Source organism: Homo sapiens, chromosome 18 (genome assembly GCF_000001405.40).
Source record: "Homo sapiens chromosome 18, GRCh38.p14 Primary Assembly".
Taxonomy (NCBI): domain Eukaryota; kingdom Metazoa; phylum Chordata; class Mammalia; order Primates; family Hominidae; genus Homo; species Homo sapiens.
Genome location: NC_000018.10, coordinates 58,065,711 through 58,086,104, shown reverse-complemented (window position 1 = coordinate 58,086,104; position 20,394 = coordinate 58,065,711). Strand labels below are relative to the sequence as shown.

Below are 20,394 nucleotides of genomic sequence, written 5' to 3'. Positions count from 1 at the left end.
CAAAATAAAATATGTATGAAATTCAACAACTCAAACTTCAATATCTATAAGCAAAATCTACCCAAACCAAAGAGTACATCCCCCAAGTTTCAATGGTTAAAAACAAAGTAAAACTCAAAATAATAATTAGTAGGAATCCTACCCATCCCTTAATAAAGGAACCAGCTGTAAAATCTGTTACAAATTGTACAATCTGACCTCACATAAATGATTAACAAAGACACTTGTCTCCATCTAACTCTGAGGTTTAGGTTCCTGAAAACTCTCTTAGGAGAATCAGCTGTTAATTAGTGTAAAATAAAAGATTCTCCTTTTAATAGAGAGAGAAAAAGAGTTGGTTGCAAAAATACAGTTTGGAAGTGAGCTATGAAAGCTGTTTAAAATAAGGAAAAGCACACTAAATACTGAATCAATGACACTCCATGTATCTTACCAACAATGGGACCTATATTTTCATTTACCTAATTCCCCATTTCACCCTCTTTCTTCTATAAATAAGGTTCAAAACTGTGACATCATCTCAGATGCCTCCGTTCTGAAGCTTGGGTTCGCTTTGCTTTTGCAAGGCCTCCAATCCTTTTACTTCCCTTGGGATCGCCTCATTATCTTGCACACTCATTTCCCTCAGCCTCTTCCCTCCTCAGTCCATCCTCCAGGGCGCAGAGATGAATTTTCCTGAAGCATGGTTTTACAGTGTCACCCTCGGTTCAGCCCCCAGAATGACCCCCCTACGCTGGGTAGAGGACCAAGTCCACACTGCTGCCTGGCACACGGCCCTCCACACTGACCCCATCCCATACCTCTGTGCACACCTGCTGCGTCACATCTGTGGTCCGCGCATCTTTACCGATGCATCTCCACTCATATCAGTCCTCACTCCCAACAGATAACCATTGTTCTCATTGGGTTGAACCATGTTCCCCCAGAATTCACATTGGAGCCTTAACCTTCACTACCTCAGAATGGGACTGTATTTGGAGACTGGGACTTTAAAGAAGTGATTAAGTTAAAATGAGGCCATTACGCTGGGCTCTAATCCAGTAGAGCTGATGAGGAAATGTGGACACGCAATGAGACACTAGCGGATATTTGTGCCCAAAGACAAGACCAGGCTGGGCGCAGTGGCTCACACCTGCAATCCTAGCATGTTGGGGGGCTGAGGTGGGAGGATCACTTGAGCCCAGGAATTCAAGACCAGGCTGGGCAACATAGGAAGACCCAGTCTCTACCAAAATTACGAAACTTAGCTGGGCATTGCGGCACACACCTGTAGTCCCAGCTACTCTGGAGGCTGGGGTGGGAGGATCTCTTGAGCCCAGGAAGTTGAGGCTGCAATGAGCCATGATCATACCACTGCATTCCAGCCTAGGTGACAGAGGAAGACCCTGTCTCAAACACACACACACACACACACACACACACACACACACACAAAAACCCCACAAGATATAGTGAGAAGGTGGCCAGGTGGCCATCTGCAAGCCAAGGAGAGAGGCTTCAGGGAAAACCAAACCTGCTGACATCTTGATTTTGGACTTCTAGCCTCCAGAACTGTGAGAAAATAAATGGTTACTGTTTAAGCCACCCAGTGTGTGGTGTTTTGCTATGGCAGCCCTCAAAAACTAACACACCACCACCCCCATCTTTCCTTCTACAATGCTAAACCTCATCCAATTTTTCATGGTTTTATTTAGACATAATTTATACACAATTTACCCATTTAGAGTATACAATTAAATCGTTTTGAGTATATCCACAGAGTCGTACAAGCATCCTCATAATCTAAGAATATTTCATCACTTGAGGAAAAAAAATCCTGTACCCATTAGCAGTTAGTCCTTGTTTCCTTCCTCTTCCAGCCCTATGCCACCACTAATCTACTTTCCGTCTCTGTGGATTTGCCTGTTCCAAACATTCCATATAATCACACAATATGTGGAATATGTGGAATCACACAATATGTGGTCTTTTGTGCCTGGATTCGTTCAGTTCCCATAATGTTTTCCAGGTTTATGCATTTTGTATGCTGCCTCTTAAATCTATAAGCATTTTCTTTTCTTAAAAAAAAGCTTTGGGCCGGGCGCACTGGCTCACGCCTGTAATCCCAGCACTTTGAGGGGCTGAGGCAGGTGGATCACCTGAGGTCAGGAGTTCAAGACCAGGCCGGCCAACATGGTGAAACCCTGTCTCTACTAAGAATACAAAAATTAGCCAGGCATGGTGGAACATGCCTGTAGTACCAGCTACTTGAGTGGCAGGTTCATCCATATTGCAACATGTATGAATGTTTCACTCCATTTTATGGCAGCATAGCATAGCATTCATTGTATGGATATACCACATTTTGTTTATCCACTCATCAGCTGACGAACATTTGATTTTTTTCTGTTGTTGTTGTTTTGTTTTTTTTGTTTTTTGAGATGGAGTCTCGCTCTGTCGCCCAGGCTGGAGTGCAGTGGTGCAACCTCTGCTGACTGCAAGCTCTGCCTCCCGAGTTCATGCCATTCTCCTGCCTCAGCCTCCTGAGTAGCTGGAACTACAGGCACCCGCCACCACGCCCGGCTAATTTTTTTGTATTTTTAGTAGAGACAGGGTTTCACTGTGTTAGCCAGGATGGTCTCGATCTCCTGACCTCGTGATCCACCCGCTTCAGACTCCCAAAGTGCTGGGATTACAGGCGTGAGCCACCGCACCCGGCCCCTGGTTTGTTTCTGTTTTTTGAGCCCACCTAAATTTAAAGTCTTACTTCCATCCCATAGCATGAACTAATTTAGAGGTATACTCCCTCCCCTTCCAAAATCCCATGCAACAATGTATAAATCATTTAGATCAGTACCTCGTGCCAAATCATTACACAATTAGTTATTATCATGTTACTGTGAACCACTGCAGCACTTCTCGTATATATACCACTAACTGGGCCATTCTTCATGATCACTGATCTTTTCTGTTCATTCAGTCAATAAACATTTATTGAGCCTTTACTGGTATTAAATGGTATTAAGCCACCGGTTAACAAAACAGGTACCCTCTCTACCCTTAGAAATCTTAACCTGTTAAGATTCCTACTAAGAATTTAAGTTCCTGCTAAGAATGTATACGCTTTTGACTGATTAACAGAAACTGATAGGAAGGGACATTTAAAAAGAATGATTGATGAATGAAACTGCTTCCCATCACCTTATTTGTAATACAGAAATATTAGAAACAGCCCAAGAACACAAAAATATGTATCAAATAACTAAGTGAACATCCACACGATGGGACGCTTTGCAATCATGTACAATATTTATCAAAGCTTTTTTTTTTTTTTTTTGAGATGGAGTCTTGCTCTTGTCACCCAGGCCAGAGTGCAGTGGTGTGATCTCAGCTCACTGCAACCTCCACTCACTGCAACCTCCGCTTCCCAGGTTCAAGCAATTCTCCTGCCTCAGACGCTCAAGTAGATGGGACTACATGTATGCACCACCATGCCCGACTAATTTTTGTGTTCTTAGCAGAGACGGGGTTTCACCATGTTGGCCGGGCTGGTCTTGAACTCCTGACCGCAGGTGATCCACCTGCCTCAGCCCCCCAAAGTGCTGGGATTACAGGCATGAGCCAATGCACCCAGCCCAAAGCTTTTTTTTAAGAAAAGAAAATGCTTATAGATTTAAGAGGCAGCATACAAAATGCATAAACAGTACTATCTCGATGTGTAAAATAATATTTATTAGAAGGCCTGTAATCCCAGCACTTTGGGAGGCAGAGGCGGGTGGATCACGAGGTCAGAAGTTCGAGCCCAGCCTGGCCAACATGGTGAAACCCCGTCTCTACTAAAAATACAAAAATTAGCCGGGCGTTGTGGCAGGCTCCTGTAATCCCAGCTACTTGGGAGGCTGAGGCAGGAGAATTGCTTGAACCCGGGAGGCAGGGGTTGAAGTGAGCTGAGATCATGCCATTGCACTCCAGTCTGGGCGACAAGAGCAAGACTCCATCTCAAGAAAAAAAAAAAAAAAAAAATATATATATATATATATATATATTCATCAGAAAGCAATTAGAATAAAAAGACTGCAAACTGTATATTTAGTCCTGGATTACAATCATTTCCTGTACCATTCCTTTTTAAAATGCAAACAAAATGCATTATTTCACTCTAAAATACAATAAATAGCCCTATCACACACAATGAGAGATTATTAGATTAGGTAGTTACCACCAACTATTAGGATGGTGTCATTGAGGTAAATAGGCAATTTCAATTCTATGCAAAACGCATTTGTTATGGAGAAACTGCCTGGAAAAAAACCAGAAAGTTCAGCACAGAGTCAGCCAACTCTTAATTTTTTTCTATAATAATTAAGGTAAGTGCTCCGAAGCAGGGACAAGGGTTCAGCCTGTACCACATAGGTTCAGAAACAAAAGTGGAAAAACAAAACATAAATCAAGGCTGCAGTTCAGCATCAGGGCAGGAAAAGATACGAGATTCTGTGTGTTTTGCTTTGTTTTGACCGAGTTAATTCCAGCATCCAGATTTCCTAAAGTGTTCAAACGTCCTTTTGTGCAAATAACAATAAATTCTCTGCTTTAAAAAATGGGTGGTGTTCCAGCTGGGTGCGGTGGCTCACACCTGTAATCGTAGCACTTTGGGAGGCCAAGGCGGGTGGATCAGGAGGTCAGGAGATCGAGACCTTCCTGGCTAACACGGTGAAACCCCGTCTCTACTAAAAATATAAAAAATTAGCCGGGCGCGGTGGTAGGCACCTGTAGTCCCAGCTACACGGGAGGCTGAGGCAGGAGCATGGCGTGAACCCAGGAGGCAGAGCTTGCAGTGAGCCGAGATCGCGCCACTGCACTCCAGCCCAGACGACAGAGCGTGACTCCATCTCAAAAAAAAAAAAAAAAAAAAAGGGTGGTGTTCCAAAATTTCATTTGGAAGCTAGTTGTCTAAAACTCAGAATGCATGTTCCCAAATAGAAATGAAGTGCCAAAACTAGACCACAAATGTCTCTTAATGCACACTGTAGCTGAGAAACCCTAGGTTTTTTATTCATTGAAAGTAGCAGAGAACACTGTTACTGTAACATTATCATATAGGAGGCTTTCAAAGACCCAGACAACTTTTTATTTCTGGAGTTCCGATGCTGAGGACTCCGGCCCTCACATTTCATACCCCCCAGCCCTCTACCACCTCCCAATTCTACCTCTCCCCACTCCCAGTGAAACTGCTTTCTTAAGAGCTTGATGGGGCTGCTTTAGGGAACTGTTGCCCTCACTTCCTGGTAGGGTTTGAGGAAGATCAAGGGAAATAACAGTTGTCCTGGGGCAGCTCCCAGGCTCCAACTCACTCCACCAGTTACTAAATGATGGCTTTCTTTTGTCTTTTTCTTGCTTGCTTAATCTTGATGGTTAACACACACACCACCCTCTCGCTCCTTATTTAGAGCAGTCAAGTGAAGCTACACATCCCCGCCTGAGGGCATCTGTCCCTAATAAGCCTGCAGGTACAGGAATGAAGTACATTTGCCTTCTCGCTCATCTGGCCCTGCTCTCTATAGCAATATCTGTCTTCTTCCTAACAGTTCTTCCAACAAATGATCCACATGGTGGTTCCAGCTAATGAATATATAGCCTCTCACCTTTCCAGACCAGAAAGTCTCTAGGGAATAAGGATCTCTAACAGAAATAATCCCACTTTACTGCCCATATCAAACCCACAAGCTTCAGGTTATCAAACATGTGAGAACCAAAAACCTCAAAGGGTGGATGTCAAACCTAAATCTTTTACCAGAACTCTGAAACCTGAGTAAGAGACGCTCGTGTGAAACTGCTGTGCATATGCCGGAGCCAGGTGTCTGGCATCTCACCCAGGTGGGCTCCCCATCTACAGAGAATCCTAGGCAGGGTGCAGTGGCTCACACCTTTAATCCCAGCACTCTGGGAGGCTGTGGTGGAGGACTGCTTGAGGCCAGGAGTTCGAGACCAGCCTGGGCAAGACAGTGAGACCCGGTCTCTACAAAAAATTTAAAACTTAGCAAGGCACGGTGTTACGCATGGCAACTACTCAGGAGGCTGAGGGAGGTGAGAGGATGGCTCGAGCCCAGGAGTTCAAGGCTACAGTGAGCCATGATCGTGCCACTGCCCCCCAGCCTGGGCAACAGAGTGAGGCTCTGCCTCTAAAAATAATATTAATGTTATTATTTGTATTATTATTAAAACAAAGAGAATTCTGCATGAGCACTGAATGCCAGTTTCTCATACTTCTCTGGGGACTACCTTCATTGTCCCTGCTGTCCCTCTCCAATGACACATTCCGTACAGAGTTCCCATGCTCATACCTCACCCAGTTTAAAAAGGGAAAAGCAAAATCAAAACCTCCACAATCCCAGTCCCAGGGAAATGACCCCTCCGGTTCCTCACACATACTCCCCACCAACTCTCATTCTTGAAGCCCACAAATGCCTCCAACTCCACAGCCCATGTGGTGCATGCGGGGAGGTGGCCAAGTGATCGGAGCCCAGAGGGCAGGGTGCCTGCATCCCATCGAGGTCTGCCACTTCCCAGCTATGACTTGGGGCAAATCACCAACCTCTCTGAGGCTCAGTTTCCCCATCTGTATACCAGGGATAATAGCAGTTACCTAAGTTATAGGGTGTCGTGAAAGTTGAAAGTGAGAGTTTTTAAGATCTCAGGGGCAGTAAGTACACTGTGAGTGTTTGTTACATAAAATTACTGAGGAAGCGTATGAACACTGCTGTTACCACGCCCATCACTACTGCCATTTCAGATTCCCAGAAGCCTTTTTCCAGAAAGCTCCACACCAGAAGTACAGACTCCTAAAGATGAACCCTTAGGAATATCCAAGCACCTCTTTCATTTTAGATATGAAAAAATGAAGGAAATTACAATCAGAGACATTAAGCCACTTGCCCAAGGATACATCGTAATTAAACCCCGGAACTGAGCCAAGACTCCCAAGAAGGTTGCCTCATCAGCAGGACCTGCTGGTTATCTGCAGCTCACACACACCCCGCAGACACGGGTGTCTTCGCACATCGCCACACCCAGAACTAACAAGAACACCTTCTGGCACTGGGAGTGCCTGGTACATTTTATCCACACAGCTCCCGTTCATAGTCTCATTTAATCTTCCAACAGCCATACAGGTATTATTTTCCCTCAATGACAGGTGTGAAATGAACTGACACCTATCCAGAGACTAAGCCCAGTTCCGCCCATTGCAATCCAGCAGTCTGTTTTCACCACCATATTGTCTCATCAGGTCCCTGAAATCAACCAAGCAGGAAACGGACTGACCAATACCACGTTTCACCTTCATCTTCCTCCTCCCTCGGAGGGGCCAGAGCAAATCCTGTCACCTACTGGCTCCCCACATCACTTTCACCTCAAGAAAAGAACTGCCCTTTATTTCTGTAAGCTTTCTGTTCCATTGTACATATTGTTTTCCTAAAAACTAGTCAAACGTGGACTAAGTAGTCAGAGCATTACTAGAAATGCATCTTACTCAAGAGACAGGTAAAGCCATTCACTGTGGAGTCAAGTGAGACCTTCAGGAAAAATGCCCCCATTCTCCCAAGACACTCAGAAAATTCTACACAGAGCAACTACTGAGAGAAGCCCTCAGCGGTCCCCCCTCACCCAGCTCAGCACATCCCTGCCACCCTGCAGGACAGGGCCTGGGACACAGTTACCTGCCAAAGAATCCTGCTTTTCATTCATTACATTCATCCCAAAGCATCATGTTCTGTTTTTCTTTGATATCATATTTAAGATATATTAAAAGAAACTAAAGGCCACCAGCAACATTACCTTTTCAAGTAAATTCACTCAAAGTTTGAGATTACTGACCATCTAACAAGCTTTTAGAAATCAGCTTATTTTAATAAATTAGGTACTTTCTGGAGCATAAATCTGTATTTGACGGAAACCAGGTAGGCAGTGATGAGATTGTCTCTAAAGGTCTCATTTGGCTCTTAAAAATTCATTTCATGTTGTCATTTTAGTTTTTACTTTTTATTTTTATTTTGGTTTGTCTGGAGTCATCTGGAGCAAGCAATTTTCTTTTAGGCAAAAAAAAAAAAAAAAATACGTTTCTCAGCCTCAGCACTATTGGCATTTTGGTCCAGATAACTCCCCATCCTGTGGGGCTGTCCGGTGCATTACAGGATGCTCGGCAGCATCCCTGATCTCTCATCACTAGATGCCCCCTGGTGTGATAACCAAACCATCCCAGACATTGTCCAATGTCTCTCGAGGCACAAAACTGCCCCTGGTTGAGAACCACTGTTTTAAACAAAAGATTCCAAGAAAACCAAAAATGGAGCTCTATGGTCAGGTTAAAGATAACTGCCCACCTCTGCATTTTAGGTGAGGATTAGCTATGAAGTAATCGGGAAGCGCTCCCTGGGGCAGAAGATCCCAAACCCGATGCATCACAAGAAGCACTTGGGAGCTTTTCAAAGTACTGATTCCTGGGCCTGCCCCATCCTTCTAACTCAGAAACTATCATGGCGCTTGGAATTTAATCTTGAAAAAAATCCCTGGAAAAGATCCAGAAACAAAACAAATATTAAACTGTAGTTAACGACGTGCACACTCAGTGTTTAGGACTGTACTGTACCGATGTCTATCACATGCTTTGAAACGTATTCCAAAAAAAGAGATTCCAGTACTTTGGGAGGCCGAGGTGGGTAGATTGCTTGAACTCAGGAATTCCAGGCCAGCCTGGGCAACATGGCAAAAGCCTATCTCTATAAAAAATACAAAAATTAGCTGGGCATGGTAGTACATGCCTGTAGCTCCAGCTACTCAGGAAGCTGAGGCCAGAGGATCACTTGAGTCCAGGAGGTCAAGGCTGCAGAGATCACACCACTGCACTCCAAACTGAGTGACAAAGTGGGACCCTGTCTCAAAAAAAAAAAAAAAAAAAAAAAAAAAAAAAGCCGTTATGAGGCTGGGTATGGTGGCTCACGCCTGTAATCCCAGCACTTTGGGAGGCTGAGGCGGGCAGATTACCTGAGGTCAGGAGTTCAAGACCAGACTGGCCTGTTAGCAAAACCCCATCTCTACTAAAAATACAAAAAATTAGCCGGGTATAGTGGCGCGCACCTGTAGTCCCAGCTACTCAGAAGGCTGAGGCAGAAGAATTGCTTGAATCCAGGAGGCAGTGGTTGCAGTGAGCTGAGATCATACCACTGCACTCCAGCCTGGGTGACACAGCAAGACTCCATCTCAAAAAAAAAAAAAAAAAAGCAGGTATATTAAAATGTTCATTGCAGAATCCATGTGGTTGGTATATGGGTGCTCACTGTACATTCTTTACCTTTTCTGCAGGCTTGAAATTTTTCATAATAAAGCATTAGGGGTGGGGGAACTGGAGCCATTCTGGAGATCAGCAGGATCTGAAAACCACTGAAACAGGAGTTCCAACTCCAGCCCGCCCGCCCGCTGAAAGACACAGGCTCACCTCACTGAGCTCTCAGTTTACCCACTACTCAAAGGTATGTCCAAAAATGAAAGAAAATGGATCCAAACCTCAAACAGGATTTTTAAAAAGTCTTTTGGCCCTTTTCCCAACGTGGTCCTGCTACCATTTGCTGTATATCCTAATATTCCACTAAAAGAAAGCAAAACTTACCACCTTGCCTAATTTTGTTTCAGTTTTTCTGGTTAATAGACTCAAGCCTGGGGCAGAATCTTTCATCAGCTACTAAAGGTTTTTTTATGCTTTACTGCACCCAGTTTTAGAAACGAAGGTGTTCTATTATGTATTACGAATGGAATCAAGGGTTTGCTCTTCATGTGACATCAGCTACTCACTCTGCCTCCCCAGATTAGTTTATGCAACTCAAATTACTAACATCCTGCTACAGTCTGGCTTAATCCCAAAATACAACACCTTCTAGCTTGCATATTTGTAGGCTTCTCATTTAATCAAAAAATCCTGACCACAAAAAAAGCAAACAGCAACATTTTCACTGAGCCCTGGTTCAAGCAATCCAGGGAAATCACTCTTTAGTAATCTAGTTCACTATATTTATCAAGTGGTGTGAGATTTCTCTTGATGCCAACAATGGTTATTTTCCATCGTGCTTTGTGCCAACCTAACGATCACTTTGTATTGCTAAACCGGGGGAAAATCAGTAAGAAAATAACATGATCTCCAGCTATCATCTGGAGGGGTCTCGCCCTGTCACTCACGCTGGAGTGCCGTGGTGCAATCATGGTTCACTGCAGCCTCAATTTCCTGGATTCAAGCAATCTTCCTGCCTCACTCCCGAGTAGCTGGGACTACCAGTGCACACCACCACCACCAGCTAATTTAAAAAAAAAATTTTGTAGGGATGGGGGTCTTGCTATGTTAGCCCAGGCTGGTCTCGAACTCCTTTTCTCAAGTGACCCTCCCGCCTCAGCCTTCCAAACCTCTTGGATTACAATCATGAGGCGCCACACCCAGCCTGAAAAAAATACTCTTAAAAGTACTTCCCAGCTAGATGCAGTGGCTCACACCTGTAATCCCAGCATTTTGGGATGCTGAAGTGAGGGGATCCCTTGACCCCACAAGTTTGAGGATGCAGTGAGCTATGATCACACCACTGCACTCCAGCTTGGGTGATGAAACGAGCAAAACTCTATCTCAGAAACAAACTAAGGCTGGATGCGGTGGCTCACGCCTGTAATCCCAGTACTTTGTGGGGCTGAGGAGGGTGGATCACAAGGTCAGGAGTTCGAGACCAGCCTGGACAACATGGAGAAACCCCATCTTTACTAAAAAAGTAGAAAAAGTAGTCGGGCATGGTGGTGTGCGCCTGTAATCCCAGCTACTCAGGAGGCTGAGGCGGGAGAACTGTTTGAACATCCAGGAGGCGAAGGCGACAGAGCAAGACTGTCTAAAACACAAACTAACTAACTAAAAAATGACTTCCCCTTTGCTCTCTAGGACGAGAAGTCTCTGCTACTACGACGCTTTCTGGTCCTAAAACTCCATCATAAATTGGATCTGTTCAAAGCATGCTCCCTCCCAAGAGAATGGTGCGTAAGATGAACCCAAACAGATATCTGACATATGTGCTAGGTTATTATTATTGTTATTTTGACCTAACAACCACTGTCCATCCAACTCTTCACCTATGGAGAAGCTTCTCTCACACTCCACACTCCTGAATTATCAATGCCTCTTTTGTATTTTCCACCATCCTCTTCCTTTCAGCCTATCATCTTTTACATATTGAAACTTTCACAGCCAACCCTGTGCCTAGATACCCCTGTATCTTCTCTTCAATTTCCCTGCCATTTGGGCTTCATCTTCTTGTCTTAATATACAGCATCAGTCGTATCCCTCAACCACCAGAGACAAGAATCTGTTTTATTCTTCAAAACAAATTATCATTCCTTACTTTGTAATCATTTACTCATTTTTAGTGTCTCAAGCCATCCATCAGGCAGATACTTTTTGATACCCTCAAATTACCCAAGATCATCTCTATGGCCTTGTTCTTCATTGTGTCACTTATTTTAAAAATTCTTAGTGGCCAGACACACTGCCTCACGCCTGTAATCCCAGCACTTTGGGAGGCCGAGGTGAGCGGATCACAAGGTCAGGAGATGGAGACTATCCTGGCTCACATGGTGAAACCCCAACTCTATTAAAAAAAAAAAAAAAAAAAATACAAAAAATTAGCCAGGCATGGTGGCACGCAACTGTAATCCCAGCTACTCAGGAAGCTGAGGCAGGAGAATTGCTTGAACCCGGGAGGCAGAGGTTGCAGTGAGCCGAGATGGCATCACTGCACTCCAACCTGGGACAGAGTGAGACTCTGTCTTAAAAAAAAAAAAAAAATCTTAGCATGATTTTGGGAGGATAAGAGCAAAATGACAGAATACAAGTAGTGAGAATGGGAGGAAACATCTGATAGGTCTGCCATCAATGGAAACTTAAGCTCACCTGTTAGATGAGTGTGGCCCTACAGCTCACATTGCCCTTTTAACTAACTTCCTCATTCAGGAATTGAGGGATGCTCCAATGCTGCTCCCTCAACCCAGGAACAGGGAAGCAGACCCTGCCAGTGGCAGTCCAGTGGACAGGGAAAATCCTAAGCAGATTTTGGAATTCTACATAAGGTACAAATGCCCCAAGTTTGCACAAGCCAGATATTTCAGCTTAATGCACCGCTTTACTAATACCTTAGGTGTATCTGGATGCGCTCTTAACTGTATATTGTTTTTAAATACGTTTTATTGAGATTTCATATACCATAAAGTCTGCCCCTCTCAAATGTATAATTCATTGATTTTAATGTGTCTCCAAAACTATGCATCTATCACCATTAGCTAATCACAGAAAATTTCATCATCCCAAAGGAAACTCTATACCCACTACCATCACACCCTATTCTCCCCTCCCACCAGCCTCCAGCACATATTAACACTCATCTATTTCTTGTCTCTGAATTTGCTTATTCCAGAATTTTCAAATAAACGTGTGGCCTTTTGTGTCTGACTTCTTTCACCTACCATACGTTTTCAAGGTTCATCCATGCATTTATCTGAGCTTAGTGGTTTAATGGCTGAATAATATCCCATTGTATGGATATACCACATCTTCTTTATCCATTCATGTCCTAACACCCCTGTCAAAAACACAACTGACTGTAAAGTTAAGGGTCTATTTCTGGACTCTCAATTCAATTCCATGGATCTCTATGGCTGTCCACACAGTAGTACCACACTGTCTTGATAACTGTAGATTTGTAGCAAAGCTTTGAAATTGAGAAGTGTGAGTCTTCCAGCTTTGTTCTTTTTCAAGGTTGTTTTGGTTATTCTGGGTCCCTTACATTTCCATGTGATTTTTAAAATAAACTTGTTAATTTCTGAGAAAAAAAAAAGCCAGCTGGGATTTTGTAGGTATTGCACTCCATCTGCAGCTCAATCTGGGGAGTATTGGCCGTATTAACAATGTAAGTCTTCTAATCCGTGAACATGGAATGTCCTTTCTTTTGTTTTTTAGGTCTTCTTTACTTTCCTTCAAGAATGTTTTATAGTTTGTGTACAAATCATAAACTTATTAAACTTATTCCCAAGTATTTTATTCTTTTTGATACTACTGTATCATGGAATTGTTTTATTAATTTCATTTCTGGATGCTTCAATGTTCTTGTATGTACAAGCTTGTAAACTCAATTATTAGTTCAAGATTTGTGTGTGTGTGTGTGTGTGTGTGTGTGTGTGTGCGCGCGCGCGCGCGCCTTAGGATTTTCTATATACAAGATCATGTCAACTGTAACTACAGATACTTTTCTAGTTATAGTTCTATTCCAATCTCCATTACAATCTCAATGCTTTTATTTATATTACTATTTTATTTTTACTAATTGTCCTAGATAGAATCTCCAGTACAATGCTACATAGAAGTGGTGAGAATGACTATCCTTGTCTCACTCATAATCTTAGGAGAAAGCATGCAATTTCTCACCATGAAGTATGATGTTAACTGTGAGTTTTTCATAGACAGTCTTTATCAAATTGTAGAATTTTCCTTCTATTACTAGTTGATAGTTTTCATCAAGAAAAAGTACTGAATATTATCAAATGATTTTCCTGCATTTACTGAGATGATCATGTGGTTTTTGTCTTTTATTCTATTAACATGACAGATTACATTGAGTGGTTTTGGTATGGTGAACCAAGTTTTTGTTCCTGGGATAAATTCCACTTTGTCACGGTGTACAATCCTTTTTTTATGACAGAATACAAGTAGTGAGAATGGGAGGAAAGCTAGCATTGCACTGAGGATTTTGGCCTCTGTATTTATAAGGGATATTGTTCCATAGTTTTCTTGTGATGTCTTTAGTTTGGTATCAGGTTAATTATAAAATTTTGAAAGAGTTTATAATAATACTCGGTAGAATTCACCCAGTGAATTTACCCAGTAAACCATGTGACCCAGTATTTTTTGGTGGAAGGTTTCCTGATTGCTATTTCAATCTCTTTACCTGTTATTGGCCTATTCAGATTTTCAAATTCTTTAGTCAGTTATGGCCATTTGCATCTACATGAATTTGTATAAATTCCATTTAGGTTACCTAATTTGTTGGCATACAACTTGATATGGTTTGGCTCTGTGTCCCCACCCAAATCTCACCTTGAATTGTAATCCCCACATGTCAAGGGCAGGATAAGGTGGAGATAACTGAATCATAAGGGAAGTTTCTCCCATACTGTTCTCATGGTACTGAATAAGTCTCATGAGATCTGATGGTTTTATAAATGGGAGTTCCCCGGCACAACTCCTATTCTTGCCTGGTGCCATGTAAGACATGACTTTGCACCTCATTCGCCTTCTGCCATGATTGTGAGGCCTCCCCAGCCATGTGGAACTGTAAGTCAATTAAACCTCTTTCCTTTATAAATTACTCAGTCCCAGGTATGTCTTTATTAGCGGCATGAGAACAAACACACAACTATTCACAGTATACCTTCTTTTTCCCTTTACATCTTCCCTCTTCTGGGACTCCCATTATGGGTATGGTTGATGATGTTACACAGGTCTCTAAGGCTTTGTTCATTTTTCTATTCTTTTATTTTTGCTGTTCAGACTGAACTATCTCAAATGACCTGTCTTCCAGTTCACTGATTCTTCTGCCAGTTCATACCTGCTAAGCCCCTCCAGTGAATTCTTCATTTCAGTTACTAGAGTTTATGACTCCAGAATTTCTATTGGTTCTTTTTTTTATAATCTCTACTTCTTTATTCCCATTCTCTGTTTGGTCACCCAATATTTTTTTTAAGAGGCAGAGTCTTGCTCTGTCACCCAGACTGGAGTACAGTGGCCTGATCATGACCATGGCTCACTGCAGCCTCAAACTCCTGGGCTCAAGCAATCCTCCTGGCTTCAACCTCACAAGCATATTTTCATGTGATTCTTTAGACATGCTTTCCTATAGTTATTTGAACATAACTTTCATAGTGACTTAAGTTTTAAGTATGCCCAACATCTGCGCTTCATCAAGGACAGTTTCTATCCTAGAAACTAGGCAGAAACCGAGGTGTGTGTGTGTGTGTGTTTTTTTAACCTGTATATGGGACATATCTTCCTGTTTCTTGAGATAGCTTCTAATTTTTGTCAAAGACTAGAAATTTTATCTAATACAATGTGTCAATTCTAAAAATCAAATTCTTCCCCCATCCCAGGGTTTGTTTTGTTGCTATCTGATTAGTGATTTTCAGGAACTAATTCTATAAAGTCTGTTTGTTTTGTTTTTTGTTTGCCATGTATGGCCACTGAAGACTCTTAGTTTAGTGGTTCGCTAGTAACTACACAGAGATTTCCTTACATGCCTTGAATTAATAAATTTTCCAGCCTTTACTAAGGGTGGGTGGGTGGGTAGGTGAGAGGGCGTGTGGGTGTGGGTATTGGGGCATGCCTTCAACACTCTGCTGAATGGTTTATAATTCTACCTTAGTCTTCCTTGAGGCTTGCATAAAGCCTCAAGATCGCCACAGCAGAGAAGGTAGAGCCTTCTCAGAATGCTCAGAGCCTTCTAGATTCCCAGGAATATGTTGGAGCTTTTTGAAGTCGTCAAGGAACATTTACTTCTCCATTTTAAAAAAACTGTTTGAGCCTGGGTAACATAGGGAGACTCCATCTCTACAAAAAAAATTAAAAGATTAGCTGGGCATGGTGGCACATATCTGTGTTCCCACCTACTTGGGAAGCTGAGGTGGGAGGACCAATCACTTAAATTCAGGAGGTTGAGGCTGCAGTGAGTCACGATTACACCACTGCACTCCAGGCTAGGTGACAGAGAGAGACCCTGTCTCAAAAAAATAAATAAATAAATAAATAAAATAAAAATAAAAAATTTTTTGGTCAGCCACTTGGCCTCAATTAGCAACACCACCTCAGACAGCTGTGATTAAACAACTACCACCGATTGTTTTCAACAAATGCTCAGCAGGTAGAGCTGTTTGCACAATGTGAGCTGACCTGTGTTGGGTGAAACAAAGACAAAGCCCTCAGAAAGGCCCTTTCAAGCAAGCTGCCAAATGGTCGAATTGTGACATTTCTTTGAGGATGGTCCTTCAAGAGCTCCAGTTCTGTTCTGTCCCTTCCAGTGGTTTAACAGACTTCTGAGTTTCACAGCTGCCATGGCTGTGAGGCTGCTGGTTTTCAAGGCCACCAAGGAGGTGGTCAGGGGCCGGGAATGGGATTGCAGCAGGTTAAAACACAAGGTTCACTGTTCCTACTGAGATCCCAGTGTTTTCTTGAACAATCATTCCTCAGATTGCTAGAAATCTTTAACTAATTTCCATGGTTCTGAAAAACTTGAAATTAATAGGTTTTGCCAATGTTCTCACTGCTTTTATGAAGTAGATTTTCAGATGTCCTTAATCCACTATCCAGCATTCCAAGGCCCTAATCTGTACTGGGGGTGAAATTTCAGTGGGATATTTACCATTATTTTAAACTCAGTATCAGTGTTACTCAGTTACAGCATTAACACTTCCCATTCGTGTGCTGAGAGACTGCTGCTTTTTTAACAACAGAAGCAGTCCACAAAAGATCTAGAAAATTCACAATCACTGCCCTCTATCCAGCCAAACTTTCTTCCAGGGGAATCCCTAGGACTGCTTCCTAAAACTGAGCTGACAAAATAATTAGAACCTGGAATACTTTTAGTTATCAGTTTCCCACATTACTAAATTTCTACTGGCTTCAACATCTGAAAGTTGGTTCCTGGTGAGATAACCTCAATTTCAGTTCTAACACTGGTGGAGCTCAGCTACTTGCAGAGTTGTGAAAATCAAGCTTTATCAACTGCACTCCCACACTGTTGACACTTGCTGAGGAAGGGCATGAGGAGCTGGTTGTCCCTTCTGATAAACTATTCAAGAGAAGAGGGTATAACAGGGAACCACAGGGGAACATATATTTTCTTTCCTATTTTTTTTTTTTTTTTTTTTTTTGGAGACAGATTCTCACTCTATCACACAGGCTGGAGCACAGGGGTACGATCTTGGCTCACTGCAACCTCCACCTCCCAGGTTCAAGCGATTCTTGTGCCTCAGCTCTGAAGTAGCTGGGACTACAGGTGCACATCATCACACCCAGCTAATTTTTATATTTTTAGTAGAGACGGGGTTTTGCCATGTTGGCCAGGCTGATCTTGAACTCCTGACCTCAAATGATCTGCCTGCCTCAGCCTCCCAAAGTGCTGGGATTACAGGCGTAAGCCACTGTGTCTGGCCAGGAACGCTTCTTTCCAAAAGGAGCATGAAGGACCTGGAGGGTCCACTTTGCCCCATTAACAGAGTATTCCCACCCACTCAGGATCAAGGCTGAGCCATGGCCACCCACTGACATCTCTCAAGCCTCTCCTATGTCTCCTGCAGAGCAATTTTGAATCAACGGAAAATAACCAACCCAAGACAGTAGAGAAATGCTCACATTTTTCTCTGAGTGGTACAAAATCATATTCTTTCCTTCCTCATCTAGCTCTCTCACTTTGCAAGTAAATCATTTTTCCATCTGCTGAGACTAAAAGCAAATCATGATTAAGAACAGAGATGTTTCTGTCCTTAATGTTTAAGAATTCTAGGAGTTCGGCTGTGAGCGGTGGCTCATGCCTGTAATCCCAGCACTTTGGGAGGCCGAGGCAGGTGGATCACAAGGTCAGGAGATCAAGACCATCCTGGCTAACATGGTGAAACCCCGTCTCTACTAAAAATACAAAAAATTAGTCAGGCGTGGTGGCAGGCGCCTGTAGTCTCAGCTGCTCAGGAGGCTGAGGCAGGAGAATGGGGTGAACCTGGGAGGCGGAGTTTGCAATGAGCCAAGATCATGCCACTGCACTCCAGCCTGGGCAACAGAGCGAGACTCCGTCTCAAAACAAAACAAAAAAAAAAAAAAAAAGAATTCTAGGAGTTCAAGATCAGTCTGGGCAACATAGCAATACCTCATCTTTAAGAAAAAAAAATTCACTGGGTGTAGTGGCACATGTCTGTAGTCCCAGCTACTCAGGAGGCTGAGGAAGGAGGATTGCTTGAGCCTAGGAGGTTGAGGCTGCAATGAGCTATGATCACACAGCTGCACTCCAGCCTGGGTGACAGAGGGAGACCTTATCTCAAAAGCAAACAAAAAAATCTGTACCCCTTCTCCCAAACAGTGCAATCCCATTTTACCTTCTGGAAGTCCCAGCCCTTCAAAGTCCAATTCCCAACCTCGACACAGATACACCTGCATTCCCCGCTGCCACCAGCAGCTGTCATCTCAGGTCCTGGCATTCCTGGGCCAACTAAGACTGCCAGCTTCCCAGATCACCTCATCTCACCCACATCTGCACAACACTGTACAACATTCCTTTCTCCAGCTCCCACTCCTCAAGTGTTCCACTGGGACACAAATCATACATTACAAAGAACAACATGTGTGCAGCTACAGGAGCACTAAAAGTGTGGCAAAGTCCCCATTAAGCTACTCCTCTTCCTAGCTCACACTTCCATTTCTCAGTTTTGAGACCCAATTCCATGGGAACTGCAGATGTACCAGGTAACCCAAGTGTGTCCTCGCAGGCCCCCCACACCACCTCCTCAGAGCAGCTCTCTCCACCCCAACCCAGCCCCAACCATTGCTTTAAGCAGAAAATGTCAAATTAGCTCATTCCCTGATAACCCCTTAAACGAAAATAGCAAAAGGATATCAGATAGCTGAGTGGTTGGACCAGGACTCTAAATCATTTCTTTTGCTTTTCATTCTTCAAAGCCTGAGATCACTATGGTACTAGATATATGTATGTACACTGACAAAATTAAATTCAAACACTTGTAAGAATGGTATTTGAATTTGGACTTTTATCCAGTCTTGTTTAAACTAGGACTGCATTCTGCTTAACTGACCAAAATCATAAACCAGTACTCCAATTCTCCAGTTTGCTCCTGTGGAGCTAAGTTTTGTTATACTTCTCTTTCTTCTGCTGTTGATCTTTCTCGGCAAAAATCAAAACTCATTAAAGTTGACTTTGAGAGTTCAGGGCTGGAAACATTTAAATTGATAAGCTAATCTTAAAAATTTTTTTTTAAAATGACAAATTCTGAATTACAATACATGTGTATGAGGGTTATATGGTTTAGATTTGTGTCCCAACTCAAATCTCATGTGGAATTGCAATCCCCAGTGTTGTAGGAGGGGCCTGGTACAAGGAGATGAGATGATGGGAGTGGATTTTGCCCCTCAGTGTTGCTCTCGTGATAGTGAGTCTGTGCTTGGTTATTTAAAAATATGTGGCACCCCACCCCTCTTCCTCCTGATTCTTCCATGTAAGACATGCTTGCTTCCTCTTCACCTTCCCTTATGACTGTAAGTTTCCTGAGGCCTCCCCAGAAGCAGAAGCCTGTACAACCTGCAGAATCGTGAGCCAATTAAACCTCTTTTCTTTATAAATTACGCAGTCTCATGTATGTCGTTATAGGAGTGTAAAAACGGACTTGGCCGGGCGCGATGGCTCATGCTTGTAATCCTAGCAGTTTGGGAGGCCAAGGTGAGTGGAACACGAGGTCAGGCGTTCAAGACCAGCCTGGCCAACATGGTTGAAACCCCGTCTCTACTAAAAATACAAAAGTTAGCCTGGCATGGTGGCAGTAAGCTGAGATCATGCCACTGCACTTCAGCCTGGGTGAAAGAGAGAGACTCCGTTAAAAAAAAAAAAAAAAAAAAAAACTAATACAGAGTGGATCTAAATTTACATTTCACCAAAATAAACCCAATTCCCAAACAAGCCTCAGCATTCAACGAGATCACTCTCACTCAGCCAGTTATTTAATTTCCTTGTGCCTAGAAATGTGTACAAAGTTAAACTCAGAACCACCTAACTTCTACACAAATGGACGCTTCCAAAAACGGTTTACCCAAAACATGTCATGAGATGTAACAGGAAATGGATATGCAACTTAAGTGACTACTAGGGGAGAAAAATGTGCATACATTTCTACTGTACAAAAATCCAGCAGTAATTTCTGCTATTTTATTTAATCTACCAAGTTTCCTTCCTGATGCTAACTCTATGAGATATGAATATTAAAGAGTATGACTGATTATTTCTGAATATTCTTTAAACACTAGGCATTTCATATGCCATTACATATACCTTGGGACTCTAAACACTTATTTAAGCAGTGAGCTATCATTCAATACCCTCCTCAACCTTCCCTACTGGAGTAGTTGCCTTTGAAGCCGGGTTCCCAGTACACCCAGCACTCTGTGTGGTGGCAAACACGTTTTTTCCCAGGGAATAAACTTAACTTCTAGAAAAGGTTCAAAGCCAACCATAGTGACTAAGATAAGTGTTCAACTTCGTTAAGGCCATTTGAATGAGGTGTTATCGTAAGGTAATGAGA

General features: G+C 42.9%; 1 protein-coding gene across 21 annotated transcripts in view, besides 1 other annotated feature; it reads right to left on the bottom strand.

The window, feature by feature from the left end:
• NEDD4L (NEDD4 like E3 ubiquitin protein ligase) overlaps positions 1-20,394 on the bottom strand; it is a 357,315-nt gene that overhangs the window by 315,436 nt on the left and 21,485 nt on the right. The window lies entirely within an intron of this gene.
• Positions 5,040-5,632: an enhancer, noted in NCBI's record as "NANOG hESC enhancer chr18:55747705-55748297 (GRCh37/hg19 assembly coordinates)". NCBI's record gives its function as "activates a minimal SCP1, AML or CMV promoter by ChIP-STARR-seq in naive H9 embryonic stem cells {active_cell/tissue: H9 hESC(naive)}" and the evidence as "EXISTENCE:reporter gene assay evidence [ECO:0000049][PMID:30033119]".